Consider the following 27,986-nt stretch of genomic DNA (forward strand, 5'->3'; position numbering starts at 1 on the left):
GCCGGGCAGACGCAGGTGTCCCAGGACCAAAATAGCAGTCAGATGATCATAAGGCCCCGTGGCAGGGCCCCCAGGGCAGGCTGCTCACAGCTGCTGCAGCTAAAGATAGGCGTGAAGGGCACACGCCTTGGGGAAAGTCGTGGGGAGCGGTCCTGTCTCGGGCCATGGACACAATGAGGTCACTCCGCTTCATTTCTGCAGAAGCTCTGGTGTCCCACCCCCAGGTGGCCCGGCAGAGCCTGGACAGCGTGGCCCACAACCTCTACCCACTCCTGTTCAAAGCCAGCTACCTGCTGGAGCAGGCGGAGGTGACGCGCGCGGTGCTGGGGCGCTGGCCCCTGGAGGAGTTCCGGCTGGGAGCGCTGCTGGGTCCTGGTGCCGACCACCCCCAGGACCTGCGCGACAGAACCTGCAGGGCCTGCCTGGAGGCGCTGGTGCGCGGCCTCGCGGACCACGTGCTGCAGGACCGGAGCCGCCGGCGGCTGCGGGTGGCTGACCTCACGGGCATCCGAGATGTGCAGGTGCAGCGGTGCCCGTGCGGGAGGGCGCTGGGCAGGTGGGGCCGCACCCAGCTGCTGGCCAGGACCTGCTGTGAGCTGCAGGCAGAGCCCCTCGCAGCCGGGCGCCCCGTCGAGGTCCTCGCCGACCTCTTCGTCACTGAGGGCAACTTCGAGGCGGTGGTGCAGGCTCTGAGGCCAGCGGGCCCGGCCCCTCTGCGGGTGCACTGCCCCTCGTTCCGGGCGGACAGCCTGAGCCCCAGCCAGCTCCTGCACGTGCTGCGTCTGGCTGGCCCGGGTGCCCTGCGCAAGCTGGAGGTGGTGCACAACGTGCGGCTGCATGCGGGCCACGTGCAGCAGCTTCTGGCCCAGGTGGGCTTCCCCCGGCTGGCCTCGCTCACCCTGCCCACCAAGGCCTTTGATGCACCCCCCACCTACGCCTCCACTCCCGACGGCGAGGACCCCCTCCTCGCCTCCATCGCCCGGGAGCTCAGCAAGATGGCGCAGCTCACTGAGCTCAGTGTGGCCTTCTCCACGCTGACCGGGAAGATCCCGACGCTGCTTGGGTGAGTCTTGGGGAGGGGACTGAGGGCGGGCTGGTGGCTGCAGAGGCAAGGAGAGATCGTCCAGGGGCCTGCTCATGTCCAAGGCCATGAGGCTACACGGCCTCCAGCCTCTCACTCCGGGTGTGGCCACAGCCACAGGACAGCGGCCCCGCCAAGGGGCAAGAGCACCGAAAGTCAGAGCCACCAGGAAAGAAGCGGGCTGCCATGTGTGACTTAGGGATGTGGAGAGAATGCCAGTTAAAAAAAGAGAATACGGAAATTACCAAACAGACGAAACAGAAGTGCCTACGTGGTGTGAGGAGTTGTCTATTGTTGATGAACGACTCACCCCAACACTTGGGGGCTTCAAACAGCAAACACGATTTCAGCTCAGAAATCTGAGCCTGTCGGTGCCTTTGGCTCAGGGCTGCTGTTGGCCAAGGGTGCCATCTCATCCGAAGGCCTGACAGGGCGGGATCCTCCCAGTCTCCCTCGAGGGAGGCCTGGGCTCCATGCTGCATGGACCTCCCCATGGTGGGACAGGAGGCTTATGCAGGATCCTCTCAGCAGATCTGCGTGAAGGAGGCAGAGAGGGCAGCAGCTAGGAAGGGGCCAGGCCAAGGCAGCCTCAGGCAGTGGTGAGGGGGATGCCCGGCGGTGGGTCCAAGGGGGGTGCCCAGCAGTGGATCCTGGAGGGGGAGTGCCTAGCGGTGGGTCCAAGGGGGGTGCCCAGTGATGGGTCCTGGGGAACGGGGTGCCTGGCAATGGGTGCTGGGAGGGAGCCTGGTGGTGGGTCCTGAAGGAGGGGCAGCTGGCGGTGGGTATTGGGGTCACCGGGTGATGGGTCCTGGTGGGGCAACCTAGCGGTGGGTCCGGGGGGCACCCAGTTTTGGGTCCTGGGGGTGGGACCTGGCAGTGGGTCTAGGGGGAAGGGGTGCCTGGTAGGTACTGGGGAAGCACCTAGAGGTGGGTCCTCAGGTGCTGGGGGGTGCCTGGCGGTGGGTTCTGGGGGCTGGGGGCACATGGCAGTGGGTCCTGGTGGGGCGTTTGGCAGTGGGTTTTGGGGAGAAGTGCCTGGCGGTGGTAGGGGTGCCTGGTGGTGGGTCCTGAAGTGGGGGCACCTGGTGGTGAGTCCTGGGGTGGGGGGTGGCTGGCTGTGGGTCCTGGGGTGGCACCAGGCAGTAGATCCTGGTGGGGGATGCCTGGCGGTGGGTCCTGAAGGATGGGGGTGCCCTGCGGTGGGTCCTGAGGGATAGAGGTGCCCTGCGGTGGGACCTTGGGCAGGGGGCATGCCTGGCGTGGTTTCTCAGGTGGGACAGGGGCACCTGGCAGTGGTCCCAGTCCTGGGTGGGGAGGGACATGTCCTGGGCGGGACATGCAGGTGGGTGCAGGTGCAGGTGGGTGAAGAGTGAGGCAGCCTCCTAAGGAGAGGGTTGGGATGGGGCAGACCCCAGCTGTGTCCCCCGGCTCAGCGAGGACAGTGAGGCCATGTCCCGATGCAGTTCTGCTCTGGAGATCTCCCTTAGCTCAGAACCAGAGTAGGTCTCACTCCAACTGCCCCTGTATTAGAGCTAGGCTGCCCTACACCAACCAAGTCAGAATATGGGATGTGGGGCAAGTTGGGGGGTCTTTAGGGTTCCCAGGTGAGTCAAAGGCTGTACTGGAAGCCTCCATGGCCCTTCCCAGCTCTGAAACCATGCGGGATTCATCTTTGTCAGAGTGGAGCGGCACTGTCCTGTGGTCTCACTGCCCCCCGCCGTCTGCTTTCTGAGCAGACATTCTGTCCTGTGGTCTCACTGCCCCCCGCCGTCTGCTTTCTGAGCTGACATTCTGTCCTGTGGTCTCACTGCCCCACCCCGTCCACTTTCTGAGTGGACGTTCTCGTGGTCACATGCATCACTTTTCTCAGACAACACAAAAGCAGCTGTTGACAAAACAAACTTACCATTTAGGTGCTGAGGACAAAAGCCAGACCTCTGGGTATAGCTGACTTCACCACGTGGCGGCCGGCAGTCATGGCCAACACTAAGCGAATGCACGTGGTTGTGCTCTGGTAAAATGTTATTTATGGACACCGAGTTTGAATATCATGTAACTTTTCACGTTTCACAAACTATTATATAAATATAACAACCACTCCTAGCTCATAGGCTGTATGAAATTAGGCGGTGGTTGGACGTGACTGTGTGTTGACCCCATGATGGACAAATGGGTTGTTCCCATTCGCCTGAGCCCTCGGCTCCTTCCTGGGACCCTCCTCTCACCTGTGCTCTTTCCCCCGTGTCCTGCAGCCCCCTACAGACCCCGCTGCGAGTACTGGACCTGGCCAACTGTGCCCTGAACCACACGGACATGGCCTTCTTGGCAGACTGTGCCCACGCTGCCCACCTGGAGGTGCTGGACCTCAGTGGACACAACCTGGTCAGCCTGTACCCCTCGACCTTCTTCAGGCTGCTCAGCCAGGCTTCCCGGACGCTGAGGATCCTGACACTGGAGGAGTGTGGCATCGTAGACAGCCACGTTGGCATGCTGATCCTGGGCCTGAGCCCCTGCCACCGGCTGCGCCAGCTCAAGTTCCTCGGGAACCCGCTGTCGGCCCGCGCCCTCCGGCGCCTCTTCACCGCACTCTGTGAGCTCCCCGAGCTGCGCTGCATTGAGTTCCCGGTGCCCAAGGACTGCTACCCCGAGGGTGCCGCCTACCCACAGGACGAGCTGGCCATGTCCAAGTTCAACCAGCAGAAATACGACGAGATCGCCGAGGAGCTGCGTGCCGTGCTGCTGCGGGCTGACCGAGAGGACATCCAAGTCTCCACACCTCTCTTTGGAAGTTTTGACCCAGACATTCAAGAAACAAGCAATGAGCTTGGTGCTTTCTTGCTGCAAGCTTTCAAAACTGCTCTAGAAAACTTCTCCAGAGCACTCAAACAAATAGAGTAGTTCCTCCACTCGCACCAGTGACAGGTCTTGCATTTCAGCCTGCAGGTGCCCCGGGCTTTAGTCCTGGATCTGAGGCTTGGGCCCGGCATTCATCCCCACCACCACCACCACCAAAAGCAGTTCTTAGTGAAAATTGTAGGCGAGCCTGTTAAGCGTTGTAGAAGAGGAAGCCTTCCAGGAGAGGTGCCATGCGGTGCCCTTTAGTGGCAGCACGGCAAGGTTCTGGAGGCGGGGGAAGCCACCAAGAGACAGTGACAGGGTCAGCGGGGGCAGACGCCACATGGCAAAGAGCAGAGAAGCCCGGGAGGTGTGAGGAGTGGCCGACCTGGCCTCAGCGCATCTGGGCACTGGGCGCAAGATGAAGCTTCAGGGGGCAGATGTGACTGGGCTCCACAGCAGGGAGGGGGAGGGGAAGAGAGAACACATCACAGAAACTGCACAAAATAAGCAGCCCATGAAAAACAACCGAGAAAAAGAGGCGAAAAATGAACAGCAAACCGGACCCTGCTTCCTCCAGCAGGAGGCTCCCACCCACTGCTGGTCACAACCCGCTGTCTGGACCTGCCGCTTACGGGATGAGGTGGGCCTGCAGGGAACGCGGGGCTTCTGGTTGCTGTTAGTGGTGGCTTTTCTTCTCACTTTGTGTAGCCCCCAGAACCGTGAGGGGCATCCGAGTGGGTGAGCACAGGCGTCCGCTGAAGAGCCGCCTGGACCAGGGCGGTCAGCGCTGCGGGGAGGCCTTTGCCCGACCGCGCCACTGTTTCTCACCAACATTCACTGTGTCCTGCGGGGCTTGAGGCTTAGACTGACGGGAGCTATTCCGGGTGTTTAATTGAAGGTCTAGCACTTGACCAGCCCCTGGAGGAGCTGACAACCACCTAAGACACATTTGGACTTGGTGTCCACCAAGAGTGACTTTGTGCAAAGAAATGGCTGAGCACTAGAATAACTAAATGCAAATAAAATGCGTCTTTCAGTGCAGTTCAGACAGGTCAGTGCTTGGTGTGGTTAAGTCGTTCTCAGACCCAAAACCAGGGATCTGAGTCACTGTGTGTCCATGGCTCCGCTCAAAAGTCACACCTCATGACAGCGCCCACCACGGGTGTGTCCCCACCCCAGGGGCCCCATGTCATCCCCTCCTCAGGTGTCACCCCCTCCCCGAGTGTGTCCCCAACCCGGGGGCCCCCATGTCACCCCGAGTGTGTCCCCACCCCAGGGGGCCCCGTGTCACCCCCTCCCCAGGTGTGCCCCCACCCCTGCTGCCCTGTGTCACCCCCTCCCGGAGTGTGTCCTCACCCCAATGGCCCCTGTGTCACCCCCCCCCGAGTGTGTCCCCACCCCAGGGGCCCCCATGTCACCCCACTCCAGGTGTGTCCCCACCCCAGGGGCCCCCATGTCACCCCACTCCAGGTGTGTCCCCACCCCCGCTGTGAAGGGGTGGCCTGCCCCTCCACACCTGTGGGTATTTCTAGTTGGGTGGGACGAGAGACTGAGAAAAGAAGTAAGACACAAAGTATAGAGAAACAACAGTGGGCCCAGGGGACCGGCGCTCAGCATACCAAGGACCTGCACTGGCACCGGCCTCTGAGTTCCCTCAGTTTTTATTATTATTTTCATTATTTCAGCAAAAAGGAATGTAGTAGGAGAGCAGGGTGATAATAAGGAGGAGGTCAGCAAAAACGTGTGAGCAAAAGAATCTATGTCGTAATTAAGTTCAAGGGAAGGTACTATGCCTGGACGTGCACGTAGGCCAGATTTATGTTTCTCTCCACCCAAACATCTCAGCAGAGTAAAGAATAACAAGGCAGCATTGCCGCAAACATGTCTCGCCTCCCGCCACAAGGCGGCTTTTCTCCTGTCTCAGAGTTGAACAAATGTACAATCGGGTTTTACACCGCGACATTCAGTTCCCAGCGGCGAGCAGGAGACAGTGGACTTCTCTCTCTCAACTGCAAGAGGCTTTCGTCTTTTACTAACCCATGTCAGCACAGACCCTTTACGGGTGTCGGGCTGGGGGACGGTCAGGTCTTTCTCATTCCACGAGGCCATATTTCAGACTATCACATGGGGAGAAACCGTGGACAATACCCGGCTTTCAAGGGCAGAGGTCCCTGCGGCTTTCCGCAGTGCATTGTGCCTCTGGTTTATTGAGACTAGAGAATAGCGATGACTTTTACCAAGCATACTGCTTGTAAACATTTTGTTAACAAGGCACGTCCTGCACAGCCCTAGATCCCTTAAACCTTGATTTCATACAACACATGTTTTTGTGAGCTCCAGGTTGGGGCAAAGTGGCTGGGGCAAAGCTACACATTAACATCATCTCAGCAAAGCAATTATTTAAAGTACAGGTCTTTTTCAAAACGGAGTCTCATGTCTTCCCTTTCTACATAGACACAGTGACAGTCTGATCTCTCTTTTCCCTACACCGCTGCCCCGTATCACCCCCTCCCGGAGTGTGTCCCCACCCCAGTGGTCCCTGTGTCACCCCCTCCCCGAGTGTGTCCCCACCCCAGGGGCCCCCATGTCACCCCACTCCAGGTGTGCCCCCACCCCTGCTGCCCCGTGTCTCCCCCTCCCGGAGTGTGTCCCCACCCCAATGGTCCCCGTGTCACCCCACCCCAGCTGCCCCCAGGTCACCCCCACCCAGGTTTGTCTCCATCCCCTTTCTCCTTCTGCCCCTGGTGTGTCCAGGCCCTTCTCTGCCCAGGGTAGGGGTTTGCCTGGGTTGTAGGGGTTGGGTACCCAGCATGAGTGCCGTACAGGAGCCTGCCTCCCGGGGGCGTCTCAGGAATGGACGGCCTCCTGCCGAGTGGGCAGATATGGTGACTTCCACTCCCCACATTCGTCTCTGCCTGCTCTGCAACCACCTAAGTGCTCTCTGCACACTGCAGGCAGTGCCTTACTGGAGCCTTGTCCAGGGACATGAATTTGATATTGCGGCCAGCTTTTGGAAACAGGCAGGGAAGGTGCTGGGCCAACATTTTTAATGACTTACTTCTAACTCTAAAGCACAGAGTGGCTGCCACTGCTTTGTGTCTGAATTTTTATTGTAAGACTCAGCCGCTGGGCGGCATGATGACCAACCTTAAGGCCTGTGGCAGTGGAGAAGGGCCCAGGGTGCTGGGTGTCCTGAGGCCTGGGATTGGGCAGGGCACACAGGAGCCCACTGGTGTCAGTGGGCGGTGCTGAGGGCACAAGCTCCCAACATCTCCAGCTCCACAGACACCCAGGGGCTTCCCAAGAACAGCCCATTCTGATAAGGCCAGCAGAGGCTGGGGACCAACGCCTCCCTCGCCCGTCCTGTGCAGGTCTCGCACTTGCTCCTACTGAACTGATCGGCCCCATCCTGCATGGCCGTTCACCATTCGCTGGGTCTTTGTCCTCGCCCAATCTTGTGACTCCAGTCCTGGGTCGCATGGCGTCTGTGGCCACACATCCGGCGTCTGCAGGGCCCAGGAGCACGCCTGCTGGGTTTTTATGGAGAGCACTTCTCTACCGCAGAAAACACGGCCTCCCACACAAGACAAGCTAGTGGGAATCAGGCAAAACCATTCAGCAGGTGAGAGTGCTGATCCAACCCAGCAAACATCCATGGTGGCTGTAGCTGGGGCTGCTCCTGGCGGAGCCTCAGGGTTCACCTGCCCAGGCCCACCCCGGCTTTCCAGGGCCAGTGGGTGATGTGAGCAGGGTCCCAATGGGGGCCGCCATCTGGAGCCACCGTCTTTGCCTCCCTTGGGTCTTCCACAGCAGCATGGGCTGGTGCAGCTCCTTCAGAACATGGCACTGCTTCCTGTCCACCATCCTGGCAAGGAGTGGGGGCCGTTTTAGGGGCTCCAACTCAAGTCCTTCCTGGCTTAATGACTTGTTCCACAGGTCAGGAAATGATGATACCCTCGCAGGCCAAGGAGATATACGCAGGCCCAGTGGCCCCTGTGTGGTGGACGTGGCCCCTCTGTGTGGTGGACGTGGCCCCTCTGTGTGGACGTGGCCCCTCTGTGTGGTGGACGTGGCCAAGGGCCCTGGAACATCAGGGTTGCTCTCATCCACCAGCGCTCTCCTGCTCTTCCTCTTCTGAGTTGAGCAAGGCTCCATCATCTGCTGCATGCTGGAGTCCCACTATCCATCAGCCCCACACGGCCCCATGGGTGGGGGCACCGTGCTTGTCCCCCCCCATCTTGATGCCTGCCAGTCACCCCCCGCCCCACCTCTGCCAGCCCAGAGCCCCTCAGCCCAGATCCCATTTTCTGGCACCACCAGCCCTGGCCCATGGGGAGCAGCCACCTCGGAGCTATGGCACAGTGCTGTCAAGAGCAGGGCCCCAGCACCCCTACCTCCCGAGGAGGCCCCAGCACCCCACTCCCTGCCTGTCAGCCACCAACCAGCTTCGAGAAGCTCTCCCAGCAGGGATGGGCTCGGTCTCAGTGTCCCTGCTGGAATATTAAACAGAGCCACTTGAGTGCCCCAATGTGGCACTTTCTGCCCATCTGCCTTTCTTCGTTACTCCTCCCTCCTCACCCCACTCTCGGCACCCAGGCCAGGCCCTGCACCTGCTCCTGGAGCAGGACTTGACTCCTCTACCTGGACCAGGCAGGTCATGAAAGATGGGGCACTGCCTGAGGTCTCTGCCAGATTCCCAGGTGAGGGAGATCTGCTTTCCCCATGGGGTTGGGGCGGCCATGCTGGCACAAAGGGCTCCCGTGAATCTGGAGCTCACCCAGCAAACATCCAGGCGGCGGCAGCAGCTCTCAAGGTACACTTGTCCTGTGAGCCGCAGAGCCACATTCAGGCTCATCTGGTCCCGCTACCCGACAGCAAGACCCTCAGCCTGTCAGGGGGTCTGCAGCAGATGAGAGACCTGCGAAGCTGCCACAGAAGCCCTCCGCCTTCCACCGCATGCCTGCTGTCCATGGGTGGCTTACTGAAGCCCTTCGTTTTCTCTTTTCAAGATTTCCCATGAAGCTAGCAAAGGCCACAGGCTCTGCAACCCTGATCTTCATTGTTCCCACTCCTTTAGAACACCGCGGTATGGTGGAGCCCAGCGCTTCCCTAACTCGGCCGCCCGCTGGAGCAGGCCAGGCAGGGGGCAGGCTCAGGAGCTGTGGGAACCGCCCTGTCCCACCGTGTGGCCAGAGAAGCTGGTTTGGGGATTGGCGCGGCTATGCAGAGATATGACACAGAGTGACAAGTACTCCGAGGCCCCTGAGAGTCCCTTATTTGTCTTTCTGGTTCTTCTCTGACATCTAACCTGTGTTCTCCATTCTTGACCTGAAGTTTCACGAGACAGCCTTAAATCCCTCTTTAACTTTCTAGGCTAGCACAAATCCATCTCTGCTGCTTGCAAACAGAATCCTAAATTAATAGAGAAATACAGCAACTGTTTCGTCAAACCCAGCATAGAAAGAGGAGCCTTTTCAGCCTCAACCTATAAAACCCAGCGCAGTTACTCACACAAGTCAAGGCAGACGGAGCAAGCCCAGCACTTTCTACACAGCAGGCTGCCCCCATCACAGCCAGCCAGCGTCTACACAGCAGGCTGCCCCCATCACAGCTAGCCAGCGTCTACACAGCAGGCTGCCCCCATCACAGCCAGCCAGCGTCTACACAGCAGGCTGCCCCCATCACAGCCAGCGTCTACACAGCAGGCTGCCCCCATCACAGCCAGCCAGTGTCTACACAGCAGGCTGCCCCCCATCACAGCCAGCCAGTGTCTACACAGCAGGCTGCCCCCCATCACAGCCAGCCAGTGTCTAGGGCAGCTGCCCCCCCAAACACCCTGGCTCCTCCCAACATCGCACGGGCTGTCCTCATGCTGGAACAAGACACCTCGAGGAGGAAGCAGCTGCCACTCATGGCTGCACACACTGCAGTTTGGTCTCTGCAATGTCACAGGTGTAGTCTTCAGACTTGCTTTTATGTAGCAAACCTAATATGTGAAAGTAACTAGAAAGCTGTTTTCTCCCTTCTGCTTAAAGAGATGATCTTAGTACACTATGAAGCAATCACTTTTTAAACAATCCAACACAGAAATAGTCCGTTACACATTTTAATTAGACATAACTTCTCTTTGAAAGAACACACAGATCATTTGGTGAAGTTTTTCCGTTGAAACACCCCATAATTGGTGCAAGGTTTGCAGAACAATTTTGTCCTTATGAAATCAACACCTGCCAGTTCACACATACACACACATATGCACGCATATGAAATATATATGCAAATTATATATCCTTATGGATGAATAAGCGCAAAGGAGGAAAAAGCGCATCTACCAAATGAGCTGACTGGACTACGGAAGAGAAATGCTGCCTCTTCAGTTTTGTTTTTGGAATGTCCAGGTCAATTGTGATGCCTTCGAACTTCATTCCAAAGTCAAGTCTGAAGCAAGCGAAATTAGAAAGTACAATCTCAACCCCTCCCCGCAAAAGTCCTTCCTTTTTAAGCCACTGCAACCTCATATACAATGTTCACTCCAGACAAGGATTACAGTGGCTGCCCCTCCTCCGCCCTGCAGCGAGCCCTCCCCTCCCCAAGGAAACTGGACCTGCTTCCGAAACCTAGGATCTCCCAGAGCTCCACTCCTTACCCCAAAGGGTCCTCTCTGCCTTGCTGGCTCACGGTTTTATAGTTACTGTGACCTCCAAGAAAGCAGCAGGACAAATAATGCTTGACTCTGATGTCGCTACAAATTCAGCACACACACCAACCAGCACAATTACCCTTTTCTGCAACTTTAAACCACTTTGGTTGAGGAGCGTTCCACTGTGGGCTCACCTTTCGGTACATGTGTGGAGTTACCAAATGGCACAGCACCGTGTAACTATTCCAAACCGACCACAATCCATTTCAAAAGAGGGTGGCCTCACATCAACACTCAAACTTGCTGATGGAAGGCAGCCACGCCACACAAACACGAACTAATATCAACCCTGTGGAAAGAGCATCTTCCGGCCAGGCACGGTGGCTCACGCCCCTAATCCCAGCACTTTGGGAGGCTGAGGCAGGTGGATCACCTGAGATCAGAAGTTTGAGGCCATCCTGGCCAACATGGTGAAACCCTGTCTCTACTAAACATACAAAAATTAGCCAGGCATGGTGGCAGGCACCTGTAGTCCCAGCTACTCGGGAGGCTGAGGCAGGCAAACTACTCGAACCCGGGAGGCAGAGCTTGCAGTGAGGCGAGATTGTGCCACTGCACTCCCGCCTGGCAACAGAACGAGACTGTCTCAAAAAAAAAATGCTCGTCTTCCTAACTCTGCAGGACCGGGTCAGCGGGTCAGTGTCCACACCAGCTTGAAGGCTCTGAACATATCTATCTCACTATAGAAGGAAGCTAGGCTGACAGCACACTGGACATTAGAAACAGGATGAGGATTAACAATTTGCCTCGAAAATCATTCACCTACAAAGCAGCTGACTGTGTTTTCTTCATTTAAAGACAAACGTGGAGTGGTTCACACAGGGACACCCAGCAGACCGGATTGCCGCAGGAATGGAGCCTGCACCGCTCTTTAGGCAAGGGTCTTGATGCATCAGGAAGTACAAACAACAACAGGAAGAGTTTTGTCCAGATTTACCGAAAAAATGACTTTTTAGGGGCCGGGTGCCGTGGCCCACACCTGTAATCCCAGTGCTGTGGGAGGCCGAGGTGGGGGCGGTGGATCACCTGAGGTCAGCAGTTCGAGACCAGCCTGGCCAACATGGTGAAACCCCGTCTCTACTAACAAAACAAAAATTAGCTGGGTGTGGTAGCGCACGCCTGTAATCCCAGCTACCCAGGAGGCTGAGGCAGGAGAATCGCTTGAACCCAGGAGGCGGAGGCTGTAGTGAGCTGAGATCACACCACTGCACTCCTGCCTGGGTGACAGAGATTCCCTCTCAAAAAAAATAAAAAATGAAAATAAAAGTGACTTTTTCTCAGATAAAGCGATGGTGGTAGAGCAGAGAGGCACGCTAGCAGCCACTGAAGAAGAGAAGCATCTGAGCACCCTTAGCCATCACACCACTGCACTCCTGCCTGGGTGAAGCATCTGAGCACCCTTAGCAGGGCGTGGGTGCCGAGAGCAGAGCATGGCAGGGGGCCCGTGTCTGTTGCAGGCAGCGCATGTTGGCTCTGAGCCCGCCTCCGCCGCGCTCAAGGGGTTCCACGGATTTCAAACAACGCATGCGTGTAAAGCGTGTACAGCTCAGGGTGGAACATGCACTCCATGAATAGTGGCTCTCATACTGCCACGTGGGCTCTATGAGCTTAGGATTTTTAACAGTTGCTCCTACTCCCGTACAGACGGGCAGGAGGGGAGAACATGGCCCTTGAAAGCAGATGGACAACCTGCTCCCGCTCCTGCCTGGCCACACACTATCAAATCACTGCACACAGGTTACTCGCGGTTCTGGAGAAAAGGTGCCCGGGCTCAGACTGGCTCCAACACTACTACCTGCGTGACCTCAGGCAGGTTAGCTCTTCCACATCTCCGTAAAGTGAGGTGCGTGGTGACGAATTCACACAGCAGGCCCAAGGCTGTGTCCTACCAGGGCCTGTGTGCAAGGCTGGCCCTTGACTGACATCTGGGAACTCGGATTCTGGGAGACTTCCCAGCACCATTAACTCCTACGCGTGGCTCTGTGACCACAGTACTTGTGCTCACGGCACAGACCACACCAAACCCACCCTCCTTCTGGACAAGTGGGGAATTCCCACACAGGCCAGGCAGGGGGTACCACATGACCAGCCCTTAGCAAAAGCCCCAGGTGCTGAGTCTCCAGTGAGCTTATTCTTAATAGTTAGGTGTGTCCTGTATGACTCCAGGGAGTGGATCCTGGGGTGTCCACACGTGGCTCCTCTGAGCGCCACCCACACACCCTCTCCCTTTGCTGATTCTGCTCTGTGCTGAGTCCAACCCTGTGCTGAGTCCTGTGAGATCTCCCAGCAGGTCACGCACCTGGGGGCTGGCCTTGGGGCACCTCCGCAAAGCGTAATAGTAATACTCACTTCACAGGATTCGACTGAGGATTCCATGAGTGAACAGGTATACAGGCTCAATTCCCAGTAGCTATGTGTGACATGGGGTGATAAGTGCCTGTCTACCTTGTTGGCTGTGGTAAACAATGAGATAATACATATAAAAATATTTTGTAAAGAGTGAAGAATTACACAAAAAGTGGCATTATTACTCATAAATGGCAAGTATTTTGAGTATATATCATTGCTAATAAGTATCTGCTTGCTGAATACAGACACAAGCCAAATTCCAAACACACATTAGGTAACAACTGGATACAACACACACACATTAGGTAACAACTGCATACAACACACACACATTAGGTAACAACTGCATACAACAAACACACATTAGGTAACAACTGCATACAACAAACACACATTAAGTAACAACTGGATACAAGAAACACTTGGTATTTCCCCTTTATGGAGTGAGAGAGATCTTTAAAATATAAACCCTTGATAATATAATATTACTACTTCCTATTACCTGTTATGCAGTTCTACACATTATCTGACAAATTCTTAATGTAATCTGGTGACAGAGAAAAATAATTTGAGGAGAAAGTATTTAGGGAGTGATGAAACAGACAGAAAATTACTTGTGGTAAGGACCAGTATTGTATTTGACTTTTTAAAAAACCATTTTTACCCTGGAGCTAAAATACGAGGTTATACTGTTCTGCTTAATACAATACTGGCAGCCTAAAAATGCTTCAAGAAACCATATCCCCAACAGCGGCAGAGCATCGGGAGGAGACCCTCTGTCTCTGAGGCTTCGGTGCACTTCTGCTCAGACGGTGGCGGGAGTGGAGGTCGCTGCTGAAGGGTGACGGTGTGGCCATGACACGGGCAGCACGGGAACGGAAGACGCCGGAGACCCAGAAGGCGCATGACTGCCTGGCCTCGAGTCACTAAAAGCAGTTTGATTTCACTCTTGTCTTACTTTTCTAGTATGGCTTCCTCTACTCTCTTAAACTTCTTCAGTTCGACAACGAGTTCCCAGTATTTGAGATAGAGCCACATGAGTCTGCCATTCTGGCGTTTGTTGGTGTTCCAGACATCACCACAGTATGTATCATGCTGAAATATGTCGGTGAGACCGGCTGCCATCTCTAGGTCAGCGGCGACGGGGTCGACGGACGCTCGCACCAGTAAGCTCTTCTCTATCTCCAGCCGCTTGCTGCGAGGAAGAAACAGACTGCAGTAGATATTCTGTCTTTCTGTGAGAACAGCTTCAAATTCTTTCAGCAAAAGCCTGGCTCTCCTTTGCCAGTTTTCTTCCCTTTGCAGGCAGCTCAAATACGCACTTCTCAAAGGCTGCACCTGTCTTTTTTCTTGCATCACCTGGGCCCGTTCCTGTTCCAGAAGCTTCTTTTCTTCTACCAACTTGCGTCCCTGAGAGATAAGGGCTTCTCGGTAACTAGCAGTTCTGTTTTGTTCCTTTTCGAGTTCCAAGGACAACTGAGCGACAGCACGCCGATTTTCTGAGATCATGGCGTGGTACTTGGCTTCCAGATCCTGTTGAAAAGCAGCAGTTCTCCGACGGTAGGCTTCTCTCTCTTTTTCTACTTCTTTCTGGGACTCCCTAGACCAAATCCAACCTGACATGAATGAAGAAAAATACACATAATGAAAAAGTTAGGGCTGAAGTTCTATAATCCTCACTTAAATCATAAGGCAGCTAAGGATAGTGTTTCAGTAAAAGCTTAAGACCTCGGCTGTACCAAGAAGATCACTTCTACGTGAAAATGTGTAACAGGCCAAGTTCTTATCTGAAAACCAGGTAAGGGCTGGGTGACCAAAAGACCCTAACCCTAGCCCTTTCCGTCTTCTAACTGTTTGTTGCTAAGAAGATCTACCACCATTTGCCTGCTCCGGCTCTAGTACAATTGGCAAAGTTTAAAATGTTTGGGTCGACTTCAACTACCGTTGGCCAGGTTCTTATAAAAGTTGTATTTAGCTTTGCCCGGTGGCGACTAGTAAACGGCCTGAGTTTGAGACACTGCTTATGTTCTGATAAGGACACATAAAAATAAAGTGGGTTAAGAAGTTCAGCCTCAAGACACAGTGGGCCTCTTTCCTCAAACTGGAGACTGCTGGAATCTCACGAAAACGGGACGAAGATTGCTGGGAGGCTGGAGGGGGCACTGCCCGGCTCTGCCCCCTACACCAAGGAGCAGCAGGGCTGGCCTGCACTGCAGAGAAATCCAGCGCCTCTAAGACCGGATGACTCACACAGCCTGCTGGCCAGCAGGCACCTGGCTCCGTATAGAGCCACCAACCCTTTGTCCATCCCACAAGTAAGAGTTGGATGTGTTTCAACAATAAAAAAAGACCGTGTGATAACAGTTCCATCCACATTCCGAACTGATGCTGCTCAATAATTTCATGCATGTTGGAGCAACTGCATGCTAAGTCTTAGTTTTCCAAACAGCGACGTGTTCTGCTTGTACATTCTAAAAGCAGCACGGAGTTGAGTCTTCTGGAAAACAGAACTGTTTGGCAAATTTTCAAAGCCCAAGGCCCCAAAAGCCACTGAGAGCAGCAGTCTGGGTTCCCTCGTGTGCTTCTATCCTGTAACCCCTCCCCTACTAACTGTGGGACTCCCTCGTCTGCAGCCCCTTCTAGAACCACTGGAGTTTCTATCAACTTTAATGGTTCTCTTCCTCCTCCTGCTGCCTCCCCCAACCCAGGTGGTGTCCTTGACATTCAATTATTTTCTCCCGGGTCATTAATGGTCACCTTTTTCTTCCAGGTCATTAATGGTCACCTTTGCTTTTCTCCCGGGTCATGAATGACCTTTGTGGGAGCAATTCCATAACAGCAAGATTTCCATTAGCCTGAAAGCCAGTCCCCCTTGGATATGCTGTTGACACTTCACTGAGTAAGCACAAAACCAAACTCATCCTTCCTCAACCAAAAATAGCTGCTAGTCCTACTTCAGATGACAACTCAAACTCACGTCACCTTTATCTCCTCCCTTTGACGAGAGCTCACAGGCAGGGGCCTGACCAGGAAAGAAGCTGTTACAACGTCACTTGATAAGCACTGAGGGGTTTGCAAAGGTATGTGAGGAGAGAGAAGGGAAGGCTCGTCTGGTTTTGGTGAAGTCAAGAACGGCTTCCTAAAAAGGTGAATGAACAAAGTCTAGAAGGCTGAAGGCTGAGCAGAAGCTGCAAGGAAAAGTCACCCGAAATTAAACGAGCAAGGCAGGCGAGAGCATCGGAGAGTGAGAGCTTCCAGGAGCCGGATGTGCCTGGGGACGGGGCTTATGTCAAGGACAAGCTGGAGCTGCCTCTGGAAAGTCACAGGTGCCAAATGAGAGGGGCCCCCAGGAGACCCGGACAAGGAGCACGGGATATGTTCTGCAGCCACGAGGAGTCAAAGGAATTAACGTGACTTAAGAGCATCCAGGAGGTGTGGAGGGGTGGAGGTGGGGCTGCGAGGGGTGGCGCCGAATCAAGAGGAGACAGGGAGCTGCTCCCTGATACAATCTGGGGACGATCTCAGTCGAGTCACATCATTGACACACCAAACCACTGGAAAACTAACACAGACAATGACGCACACGGTTAAACGTCAGACCCCACCATACAGGCTGTGGTTACTGGTAAGTTTTTGGCTGGACAGGGAGCCAGGCAGGGGAGGCTACAGGCAGCTTTGCAGAGGAAAGTGTGGCAGGACAGGCTGGATGTCAGGAAAACCTGAATTCCGAGTCTGACCTGACAGACTTTGGGCACACGCAACTTTTCAAAGCCTCAGTTTCCGGTGAGACTCCTGCTTCTGGGAAGACGGAGTAGACATCCTCCCTATTCTTCTTCTAAGTAAACTAAAAATCCTGGACATCATCTGTAAAACAAGATGACTCTGAAAGATGGAGAGAAGGCAGACTGGCTTGGGTCCTTGGGACCCCAGGAACAACACGGGGGCAAGTCCTCTAGATTTTCATTTTGCCTCATAGATCCCATACTTGGAGCTGAAGACACAGTCAATTGGAAATCTCAACGGGTGCAGACAAAAAAAGAAACTCCAACAAAGCCTGCTGTCTCTGCCCAAAGGACCACGATAGAGGCCTGGCAAGAGAGAAAATGTTCCGACAGTAATCACTCTACATCAGCCAAATAACACAGAAAAAACTACGGCCCCACCTCCACCCACATGGGCAAAGGCTGGATGGAGCTGAGGCTCCCACTCCCACCCAGCAGCAAACACAGGGTGGGGTCGGGGGGAGCCATGTGGGGAGCAGTGCTGAGGCCTTCCCAGCCGGGGGGCACCAGTAGAGGCCGGGGGGCTGGAACTCCCATCCTTTCCTCGGGGGCCCATGGGGGCCAGAGGCTGAGTGGGGAGCCTGGACTTCCATCCTCACCTGGCAGTAAGGAGGCTGCGTGGCCCTTCCCCTGCCAGGGCGCCATTCAAGAAAGCCAGCTAAGACCGAAGGTTTAAATAAAAACCAGTGTTTCAGCACGTAATGCCCCAAATGCGCAGGTTCAAACAGAAAATCACTCCTAGTACCAAGGGCCAGGACGGGTCACACTAAATGAACAAAGATGATCAACAGATGCCAAGACCTGGATGAGAGATGGCAGTATCATCTGACAAGGACTTCAGAGCAGCTGCCATGACAGAGAGCCTAAGAAAATAAACACAAGACGTAAAGAAGAACCAAATGAAAATTCTGGAACTGAAAAACAGAACAACTCGAAGAAAAACTGGAATGACGGAATCAGGACTCCCCCACAAACACAGAAACAACCCTTCGCAGCCTGGCCACACACATCATTCCACAACACATAGGACTCCCCCACAAACACAGAAACAACCCTTCGCAGCCTGGCCACACACATCATTCCACAACACATAGGACTCCCCCACAAACACAGAAACAACCCTTCGCAGCCTGGCCACACACATCATTCCACAACACATAGGACTCCCCCACAAACACAGAAACAACCCTTCGCAGCCTGGCCACACACATCATTCCACAACACATAGGACTCCCCCACAAACACAGAAACAACCCTTCGCAGCCTGGCCACACACATCATTCCACAACACATAGGACTCCCCCACAAACACAGAAACAACCCTTCGCAGCCTGGCCACACACATCATTCCACAACACATAGGACTCCCCCACAAACACAGAAACAACCCTTCGCAGCCTGGCCACACACATCATTCCACAACACATAGGACTCCCCCACAAACACAGAAACAACCCTTCGCAGCCTGGCCACACACATCATTCCACAACACATAGGACTCCCCCACAAACACAGAAACAACCCTTCGCAGCCTGGCCACACACATCATTCCACAACACATAGGACTCCCCCACAAACACAGAAACAATCCTTTGCAGCCTGGTCACAAACATCATTCCATAATACATAAAACTAATTCTACAGCACGGCCACGTGGGGATTGCTCCAGAGACAAAAGACGGGTTCAATATTCAAAAATCAATGCAATCTAACACATTACTAAGCTGATGAAGAAAAATCACGATTCCATCAATTGAAACCAAAAAAAAACGGACCAAATTCAACACCTATTCATGAAAAACAGGAATACAGGGGAGCTTCCTTGACTTGATAAACAGCATCTACGGAAAACCTGCAGCTGACACTGTACTTAGCTGGGAGAGGCTGAGTGTGTTCTCTCTCAGGTCAGGGACCGTCCAACAGAGTCCCAGAAGCTCCAGCTAGTGCCGGAAGGCAAGACAAGAAATCAAAGGCAAACAGGCTGGAAAGAAGAAATACAACTAAAGTCTTACTCCTTATTAACAAAATTAACTCAAATGGGTAAGGGCTTAAATGTAAAATGTAAAACTAAAACTTTAGGAAGAAAAAACCTTCAGGATCTAGAGCTAGGCAGAATTCTTAGACTTTCCACAAAAAGCATGGTTCATAAAAGGAAACGATGATAAGCTGCCCTTCATCAAAATTACAACTTTTACACTGCAAATGCCCCTATGAAGAGAATGAAAAGACAGGCTACAGACTGGGAGAGGATACTTGCAAGCCACATATGCAACTAAGGACTAGAATCTAAGACATATTAACAACTCTCAAAACTCAACATTAAAAAACAAACAGTCCTATTAGGAAACGGCTGAAAGGCAAGAATACTCATTTCATCAGGAGGATACGCTGATGGCAATGAGCACGTGAAGAGGTGCTCGACATCACACCCTGGAGCCACGATGAGAAAAGATGCTCAACACTGCACAGTAGAGCCACGATGAGACAGCACCACACACCCATCAGGATGGGGCAGACGGGACAGCAGTGTGAGCACGCTGATGCTCGACATCGCACACTGCAGCCACGATGAGACAGCACCACACACCCATCAGGATGGGGCAGACGGGACAGCAATGTGAGCACGCTGAGATGCTCGACATTGCACACTGCAGCCACGACGAGACAGCACCACACACCCATCAGGATGGGGCAGACGGGACAGCAGTGTGAGCACACTGATGCTCGACATCGCACACTGCAGCCACGACGAGACAGCACCACACACCCATCAGGATGGGGCAGACGGGACAGCACTGTGAGCACGCTGATGCTCGACATCGCACACTGCAGCCACGATGAGACAGCACCACACACCCATCAGGATGGGGCAGACGGGACAGCAGTGTGAGCACGCTGATGCTCGACATCACACACTGCAGCCACGATGAGACAGCACCACACACCCATCACGATGGGGCAGACGGGACAGCAGTGTGAGCACGCTGATGCTCGACATCGAATACTGCAGCCACGATGAGACAGCACCACACACCCATCACGATGGGGCAGACGGGACAGCAGTGTGAGCACGCTGATGCTCGACATCGCACACTGCAGCCATGACGAGACAGCACCACACACCCATCATGATGGGGCAGACTGGACAGCAGTGTGAGCACACTGATGCTCGACATCGCACACTGCAGCCACGACGAGACAGCACCACACACCCATCAGGATGGGGCAGACGGGACAGCAGTGTGAGCACGCTGATGCTCGACATCGCACACTGCAGCCACAATGAGACAGCACCACACACCCATCAGGATGGGGCAGACGGGACAGCAATGTGAGCACGCTGAGATGCTCGACATTGCACACTGCAGCCACGACGAGACAGCACCACACACCCATCAGGATGGGGCAGACGGGACAGCAGTGTGAGCACACTGATGCTCGACATCGCACACTGCAGCCACGACGAGACAGCACCACACACCCATCAGGATGGGGCAGACGGGACAGCAGTGTGAGCACACTGATGCTCGACATCGCACACTGCAGCCACGACGAGACAGCACCACACACCCATCAGGATGGGGCAGACGGGACAGCAGTGTGAGCACGCTGATGCTCGACATCGCACACTGCAGCCACGATGAGACAGCACCACACACCCATCAGGATGGGGCAGACGGGACAGCAATGTGAGCACGCTGAGATGCTCGACATCGCACACTGCAGCCACGACGAGACAGCACCACACACCCATCAGGATGGGGCAGACGGGACAGCAGTGTGAGCACACTGATGCTCGACATCGCACACTGCAGCCACGACGAGACAGCACCACACACCCATCAGGATGGGGCAGACGGGACAGCAGTGTGAGCACACTGATGCTCGACATCGCACACTGCAGCCACGACGAGACAGCACCACACACCCATCAGGATGGGGCAGACGGGACAGCAATGTGAGCACGCTGATGCTCGACATCGCACACTGCAGCCACGATGAGACAGCACCACACACCCATCAGGATGGGGCAGACGGGACAGCAGTGTGAGCACGCTGATGCTCGACATCACACACTGCAGCCACGATGAGACAGCACCACACACCCATCACGATGGGGCAGACGGGACAGCAGTGTGAGCACGCTGATGCTCGACATCGAATACTGCAGCCACGATGAGACAGCACCACACACCCATCACGATGGGGCAGACGGGACAGCAATGTGAGCACGCTGATGCTCGACATCGCACACTGCAGCCATGACGAGACAGCACCACACACCCATCATGATGGGGCAGACTGGACAGCAATGTGAGCACGCTGAGATGCTCGACATTGCACACTGCAGCCACGATGAGACAGCACCACACACCCATCAGGATGGGGCAGACGGGACAGCAATGTGAGCACGCTGAGATGCTCGACATTGCACACTGCAGCCACGACGAGACAGCACCACACACCCATCAGGATGGGGCAGACGGGACAGCAGTGTGAGCACGCTGATGCTTGACATCGCACACTGCAGCCACGATGAGACAGCACCACACACCCATCAGGATGGGGCAGACGGGACAGCAGTGTGAGCACGCTGATGCTCGACATCGCACACTGCAGCCACGATGAGACAGCACCACACACCCATCAGGATGGGGCAGACGGGACAGCAATGTGAGCATGCTGAGATGCTCGACATTGCACACTGCAGCCACGATGAGACAGCACCACACACCCATCAGGATGGGGCAGACGGGACAGCAATGTGAGCACGCTGAGATGCTCGACATTGCACACTGCAGCCACGACGAGACAGCACCACACACCCATCAGGATGGGGCAGACGGGACAGCAGTGTGAGCACGCTGATGCTTGACATCGCACACTGCAGCCACGATGAGACAGCACCACACACCCATCAGGATGGGGCAGACGGGACAGCAGTGTGAGCACGCTGATGCTCGACATCGCACACTGCAGCCACGATGAGACAGCACCACACACCCATCACGATGGGGCAGACGGGACAGCAGTGTGAGCACACTGATGCTCGACATCGAATACTGCAGCCACGACGAGACAGCACCACACACCCATCAGGATGGGGCAGACGGGACAGCAGTGTGAGCACACTGATGCTCGACATCGCACACTGCAGCCACGACGAGACAGCACCACACACCCATCACGATGGGGCAGACGGGACAGCAGTGTGAGCACGCTGATGCTCGACATCGCACACTGCAGCCATGACGAGACAGCACCACACACCCATCATGATGGGGCAGACTGGACAGCAGTGTGAGCACACTGATGCTTGACATCGCACACTGCAGCCACGACGAGACAGCACCACACACCCATCAGGATGGGGCAGACGGGACAGCAGTGTGAGCACGCTGATGCTCGACATCGCACACTGCAGCCACGACGAGACAGCACCACACACCCATCAGGATGGGGCAGACGGGACAGCAGTGTGAGCACGCTGATGCTCGACATTGCACGCTGCAGCCACGATGAGACAGCACCACACACCCATCAGGATGGGGCAGACGGGACAGCAGTGAAACACCAAATACTGACCAGGTGGAGAAACCGATCAGCTCTGCATTGCTGGTGAGAACCTAAAACGGTGCAGCAACTCGGGAAACATTTCAGCCCTTCTTAAAAAACTAAACGTGCAACCTCCATAAAACCCAGTAATTTCACTTCTGGCCCTTTATCCGAGAGAAATGAAAACTTACATCGACACAAAAACCTACACAAGAATGTTTATAAGAGCTTTATTCATAACAGCTGAAAACTGGAAAGGACCCAGATGTCTTTCAGTGGTTAAACACACTGTGGTACGTCCATGTCATAAAACACGACTCAGCAATGAAACTATCTATGAACTACTGATACAGCAACAATCTGCATGGACCTCAGGGGGTTATGCTGAATGAAAAAAGTCAACCCGAAAGGTTATATACTGTTTGATTCCATTTACATAACATTCTTGAAATGACAAAGTTCTGGAGATGAAGAACAGATCAGTAGCTGCCGGGGGCTATGGAGGGAGGGGCGGTACACAGGGCAGCACGTGAGGCCCCAGGGATTGGGGTATCTTGACCGCATCCTGGCAGATGTCTTGGCTGTGACACTGCACTATCGTTTTGCAGATGCTTCCACTGGGGAAAGCTGGGTAGAGGGTACACGGGCTCTCTGCATTACTGATGACAACTGCATGTGATTTACATGACCCCAAAATAAAATATTTAATTAAAAGAAACTGAGTTGGGCCCAGTGAACTCAACCAGTCCCTTTCAGCTCTAAAACTATGTTTTCTGGGTCAGGGGAGGAAACAGGAGGTACAGGAACACTAGAGGGGAGAAAGCACGGAGAGATGGGAAAAGCACGGAGAGAGAGATGGGGAAAGGGCAATCAAGAAGACTGAGAGAAAAGGGGGGAAGCAGAATGACAGAGGAGGTGTGAAGAGAGAGAAGCCCTCTGGAGTGCTGAAATACTGAATATTCTCCCCTGGGAGCTACTCAGGGTAAGAATTTCTCCAGGGACTGCTCTTTCGGGCAAGCACAATTACACACATTTCTATGTTATGTTAAGTAAAAATCTAGTAAATGGGCTGGGCACGGTGGCTCACACCTGTAACCCCAGCACTTTGGGAGGCCGAGGCGGGCAGATCATGAGGTCAGGAGATCGAGACCATCCTGGCCAATGTGGTGAAACCCCGTCTCTACTAAAAATACAAAAATTAGCTGGACGTGGTGAGGGGCGCCTGTAATCCCAGCTACTCGGGAGGCTGAGGCAGGAGAATCACTAGAACCAGGGAGTCAGAGGTTGCAGCAAGCCGAGATCGCGCCACTGCACTCCAGCCTGGCGACAGGGCAAGACTCCGTCTCGAAAAAAAAAAAAAATTCTAGTAAATGAAGCGAGTGATCAGGACAAAACTAGCCTCTCATCAATAAATCAACCAATAGCGCTTATCAAGTATTCATATGTCTGCCTCTTCTTCTAGACTACACTAGGGGCTGGTTAACGCTCCTATGTGCAACAGAACCTCAAACACATCGTAACACACCTTTGGAGAATCCTTACAAGAACACCAACTTAACAGTTCTCTCTGACCACACTACCTCAGCAAAAAACCAGGAAGAAAAAAATATTCTTCAACCCTTTTCAGGGACAGAAAGCATCATTTCAAAAGTCCAAGAAGGGAAGGTAAGAATTTCAAAAGTGAAAGTTATCATGAAAGGCTATAAAAGCTGGAGATGAGTCTGAAAAACAAATGGAAAATGAGTCACTTCAGGGCCTCTCCCAGCCTCAAAGCCAATTAATTATTACATTAGTCAGAGTAATTTTAAGCCTTCCAATCCACTCACCCTAGCCACAGGCAACAGTAGCCTCTCCAAGTGTTAAGGGTTTTTTTTCCCAAGCCTGCAGGCGGATGAGCTTTTTACATGGCAGCCCCTTAGGATTGGATGTGGACCTGCCCTGTCTTTCACCAAGAAGCAAGCACTGCGCAGATCACTGAATCATAAAAACCACCTGCTCTTACCAGCCTCCTCTTCCTCTACAGCAAAACTTCTGACCTGAGACATGGAAGCAGATAAAAAGCCACTACACAAAATGTATCGCTACAACTAGAGGGCAGTTTTGCCTTTCTTCCATTCAATTATTCAGTTTCTCATGTTCCTAAGTGCCAGCCCAGAACCATGGAATGTGAAGAAACACAAAACTCACTCCTCTGCATCAGTGAATTGATTGTGTGGTGGGGATGTAAGTCTGCATATGACCGGCAGGTCCCCAAAGTGGTGCCAAGTCAATCTAAACTAGAGAGAATTTTTCTGGCCAGGCCAAGCAGAGATTTCATGGATGAAGTCTCCCAAAGACTGATTTCCTAAACATTAAACATCACTGGTTTTCCAAAACTGGTTTTCTTTTTTTTTTTTTTTAACCCTGTTGCTCGGGCTGGAGGGCAAGTGGTGCCATCTCCACTCACTGCAGCCTCGACCTCCCAGGCTCCACTGATCTTCCCACCTCAGCCTCCTGAGTAGCTGGGACTACAGGTGTGCACCGTCACGACTTGCTAATTTTTGTATTTTTTTGTAGAGACGGGGTTTTGCTGTGTTGCTCAGGCTGGTCACTCGATCTGCCCACCTGGGCCTCGCAGAGTGCTGGGGTTACAGGTATGAGCCACCACGCCCAGCCCACTGGTTTCCTTTACACCCGTTTTGTTCCCCAGCAGTCCTTATGAGGGCACCTGAAATAAGGAACCTCCTCCCCGACTTGAGAGCAGCAAAGCCTTCAGAGGGAACTAAGTTATTAAAACCCACCCCACACAAAATGCTTCTAAACGCCTTGGCTGACTTAATCCTTGCAGTGTGCTGAGGTTAAGTATGATTATCCATCTCCTGTGAACAGGAAGACTGAGGCTCAGAGCTTAAGTGATTTGCCCACGGTTCACTGCAGGGGATAAAACTCGGCTGTCCCTGGCAGGTCCCAAAGTCACGGCCTTCAGGCTCCCACACCATGCTGCCTCCCTCACCGGGGCTCCACACTCTCAGCCTGGAAAACACGAATTTTAAGAAAACCATGACTTACGAAAAGCAGCCAATCCCAGCATTGGAACCAACAGGGCATAATTCCACCTGCTTCCATCACCACCATCCGCCCTGGAATTAGGCCGGATATTCCAATTTGGGGGATCATTTAGGTTATTCATGGAGATATACCTTGAAGTAAAGAATAAAAACGTTAACTACTTTTATTCAAGAAATTTTTCTTCAGTTTTAACTATGTGCTTGCTGCACAGCACTGAGGCCCTACGGGATTCAAAGAAGAAAAAAACTAGACCAGAGCCGGGCATGGTGGCGGGCACCTGTAGTCCCAGCTACTCGGGAGGCTGAGGCAGGAGAATCGCTTGAACCTGGGAGGTGGAGGTTGCAGTGAGTCGAGGTCGCGCCACTGCACTCCAGCCTGGTGACAGAACGAGACTCCGTCCCCCCCAAAAAAAAAGAAAAAGAAAAAGGAAAAAAAAAACAAGAACTTAAGATGAAAGCGACTCACAATCTGGTTGGGGAAAGTGGAGAAAACAGACATGTCTTAAGCATCTGAAGTGCAGGTAGAATCAGGTAAGTTCTCTGGTACAAATATGTTTAAATGTATGGCTGCTGCGATGGTTAATTTTGTTTGTCAACTTGACGGCATCATGAGGTGCTCAGATACATGGTTAAGCATTATTTCTGGGCGTGTCTGTAAGGGTGTTTTTGGATGAGATTAGCAATTGAACCTTTAAACCAATTCCTCACGTCTCCCTTCTATTTGTTGTGTCTCTGGAGAACCCTCATACAGTTGTATCAAAGATACAGAATCAACTCGATAAAAGTGGGCTCACACCGGACACTTTCATATGAGCTAGGGTTTGAAGAGTGAGCAGCATTTTGACAGGCAGAGAAAGAAGGAAAGGGTCTTCTGATCAGAAGGAAGACTGTGAGGAAGGCAGGGAGGGGTGATGTGGGGAAGGTGCAAACAGTGCTAGAAGCTTCTGAGGCCTCCTCGTGGTGGTGATGAATGCAGAGATTACAGAGTTCTCTGCTTCGGGCTCAGCATGCACCCTCCATAGCTAGGCTGGGGGCTAACGTTAGTAAGAATTTACTGATTTACTGAGTACCTACACGAAGTTTCACATTTTCACAAAGTAGAGTCACTTTAAGTTTGTTTACATGTGACCTCCACAAACACACACAATTACAAAATAGTTTAGTTAATCAAGGGATGTATAATAAACAAGAGGTCGGAGGCCCCGGGCCGCTCCCGCCCACCTCCGCGGACGAGCGCCCCCCTCCGACCCCATTCCCTGCGGTCTGGGCGTTCAGGCCCTTCGGTCTGGGCGATCCCGGAGAACCACCCACGGGGCTTTAAAAATGTTGGTGCCCACCACCTCCCCGGAACAGGGCCCGCTCTACCTCGGTCGGGGAGCGCGGGACCTCAGCGTTCCCTTAACGCCACCGTCCGCGGGTCCGCTTTGCGCAGGCGCGGCGCCCCCACTCAGTACCCGCTCCGGGCGTGGCATGGTGCGCAGGCGCGATGTCCCCCACTGCAGCCCCGCTCGACTCCGGCGTGGTGCGCAGGCGCGGTATCCCCCCTCCCCCGCCAGCTCGACCCCGGTGTGGTGCGCAGGCGCAGTCTGCGCAGGGACTGGCGGGACTGCGCGGCGGCAACAGCAGACATGTCGGGGGTCCGGGGCCTGTCGCGGCTGCTGAGCGCTCGGCGCCTGGCGCTGGCCAAGGCGGTGAGTCCGTGCCGCGGACCGGGGCGGGGCAGGCGGGGGCCGAGGCGGCGGTAGGAGCGGGACGGTCCCCAGCGGGTCCGAGCGGAGCGGGCGCCGGGTCCCTGCGCCCTCTGTCCCGGGATCGGGAAGGGGCTGAGAGAGCCCTGGGCCGGTGCGAGGGGAAGCCGCGGGGCGGACTCGGGGACCCGGGGAGCTCGGTCCTTAGTAGATAGTCCGCGTCCGGGTGAAGGTCACAACCCCGCGGGCTTGCTGGGCGTCCCCTCCGCCGCCTTGGTCCGGGCCTGGGGTCCTGGGACCCCGCGGGCTGAGGTAGCCCCTCGCCTCAGTGCCTGGCAGGTGGACTCGGGGAGGAGTCGTGTCTGCCCAAGGTCACCCGGGCGGATAGCGGCCGGTGGCCGCCCTGGCTGGGCTGGGCCTCTGCCGCCCTCTGTGCGGGTTGTCCTGAGGAGCAGCCCGCAGCCCGTGGGTGGGGCCGGCGGGGCGGGTGAGACCGCCCGGGTGGGTGCGAGGAGTGGCCGGGCTCGGCCCGGTGGGCGTCCGGTGGGAAGCGTGGCGCGCCCGAGCTTAGGCTTGCAGTTCGCCTTTCCAGAAAGCGCAAATCTGTCCATGTCCACTTCGAGACCTTGTAAGTTAAGGGCTTCTACTTTGGGTCGTGTTTGGTGGTCCTTATGCCACCAAAAATGTGCCAGTGTTTAAAAGCAGCTGTGCCAGTTTTTAAAACTCAGGCGGAGAGCTCAGCGCACTGACCGGGCGAGGACGCCGGGACCTGTGCTTGCCTGTGCGCTGAGTGCCTCTAGGGCCGGGCTCGGCTTAGTCCAGGATGGTGGTCAGGGTTATACTTCCCTGAGCCCTTGCTCTCTGAGTGTCTGAATGTGCCCTCTACGATTGCATCTTAAGAATCGGCCTTCTAGGGTTTTATTTAATCAAGCTAAATTGGATAGG

The 27,986-nt window shown here is 54.4% G+C and overlaps 3 protein-coding genes and 1 long non-coding RNA gene across 10 annotated transcripts in view, besides 5 other annotated features; 2 read left to right on the forward strand and 2 right to left on the reverse strand.

The window, feature by feature from the left end:
* LRRC14B (leucine rich repeat containing 14B) lies at positions 121-4,960 on the forward strand. The gene is made up of 2 exons (NM_001080478.3): positions 121-1,063; positions 3,334-4,960. The coding sequence occupies exons 1-2, from the start codon at positions 165-167 to the stop codon at positions 3,977-3,979; spliced, it is 1,545 nt and encodes a 514-aa protein (NP_001073947.1). The 5' UTR covers positions 121-164; the 3' UTR covers positions 3,980-4,960.
* LOC124900929 (uncharacterized) lies at positions 1,354-3,353 on the reverse strand. Its single transcript, XR_007058670.1, has 2 exons — positions 2,988-3,353; positions 1,354-1,614 (listed from the first exon to the last, which is right to left on the reverse strand). It is a non-coding gene; the product is annotated as an uncharacterized LOC124900929 (long non-coding RNA).
* Positions 5,494-26,779, reverse strand: CCDC127 (coiled-coil domain containing 127). The gene is made up of 3 exons (NM_145265.3): positions 26,719-26,779; positions 25,355-25,485; positions 5,494-14,584 (listed from the first exon to the last, which is right to left on the reverse strand). The coding sequence occupies exons 2-3, from the start codon at positions 25,473-25,475 to the stop codon at positions 13,923-13,925; spliced, it is 783 nt and encodes a 260-aa protein (NP_660308.1). The 5' UTR covers positions 25,476-25,485; positions 26,719-26,779; the 3' UTR covers positions 5,494-13,922.
* Positions 16,393-16,718: a silencer, noted in NCBI's record as "fragment chr5:207882-208207 (GRCh37/hg19 assembly coordinates)". NCBI's record gives its function as "represses an EF-1alpha promoter that drives an FKBP-Casp9 reporter gene in an ReSE screen in HepG2 liver carcinoma cells {active_cell/tissue: HepG2}" and the evidence as "EXISTENCE:reporter gene assay evidence [ECO:0000049][PMID:32094911]".
* Positions 26,757-27,086: a silencer, noted in NCBI's record as "silent region_15859". NCBI's record gives its function as "represses an Ori minimal core promoter by ATAC-STARR-seq in GM12878 lymphoblastoid cells {active_cell/tissue: GM12878}" and the evidence as "EXISTENCE:reporter gene assay evidence [ECO:0000049][PMID:35858748]".
* Positions 26,757-27,764: a biological region, named in NCBI's record as "H3K27ac hESC enhancer GRCh37_chr5:218445-219253".
* Positions 26,946-27,986, forward strand: part of SDHA (succinate dehydrogenase complex flavoprotein subunit A) — a 50,427-nt gene continuing 49,386 nt past the window's right edge. For all 7 annotated transcript variants that reach the window (XR_007058614.1, XM_011514072.3, XM_011514073.3 and 4 more), the window contains exon 1: positions 26,946-27,044. Coding sequence is in view for 6 of the 7 variants with exons in the window: in XM_011514072.3 (XP_011512374.1) it covers positions 26,982-27,044 (63 nt within the window). In the remaining variant the exon portion in view is untranslated. The remainder of the gene's footprint in view (positions 27,045-27,986) is intronic.
* Positions 26,956-27,764: an enhancer, noted in NCBI's record as "H3K27ac hESC enhancer chr5:218445-219253 (GRCh37/hg19 assembly coordinates)". NCBI's record gives its function as "activates a minimal SCP1, AML or CMV promoter by ChIP-STARR-seq in naive H9 embryonic stem cells {active_cell/tissue: H9 hESC(naive)}" and the evidence as "EXISTENCE:reporter gene assay evidence [ECO:0000049][PMID:30033119]".
* Positions 27,317-27,556: a silencer, noted in NCBI's record as "silent region_15860". NCBI's record gives its function as "represses an Ori minimal core promoter by ATAC-STARR-seq in GM12878 lymphoblastoid cells {active_cell/tissue: GM12878}" and the evidence as "EXISTENCE:reporter gene assay evidence [ECO:0000049][PMID:35858748]".

This window comes from Homo sapiens, chromosome 5 (assembly GCF_000001405.40).
Source record: "Homo sapiens chromosome 5, GRCh38.p14 Primary Assembly".
NCBI classification, from domain to species: domain Eukaryota; kingdom Metazoa; phylum Chordata; class Mammalia; order Primates; family Hominidae; genus Homo; species Homo sapiens.

What these genes read in the sequence shown, in the direction of transcription:
- LRRC14B (NM_001080478.3), top strand. Translation starts at nt 165, where the DNA reads ATGGACACAATGAGGTCACTCCGCTTCATTTCTGCAGAAGCTCTGGTG. An exon ending in AAGATCCCGACGCTGCTTGG is followed by an intron (nt 1,064 to 3,333) that starts GTGAGTCTTGGG and finishes CGTGTCCTGCAG; the next exon opens with CCCCCTACAGACCCCGCTGC.
- CCDC127 (NM_145265.3), bottom strand. Translation starts at nt 25,475, where the DNA reads ATGAATAACCTAAATGATCCCCCAAATTGGAATATCCGGCCTAATTCC. An exon ending in GCTGGGATTGGCTGCTTTTC is followed by an intron (nt 14,585 to 25,354) that starts GTAAGTCATGGT and finishes CATTCATGTCAG; the next exon opens with GTTGGATTTGGTCTAGGGAG.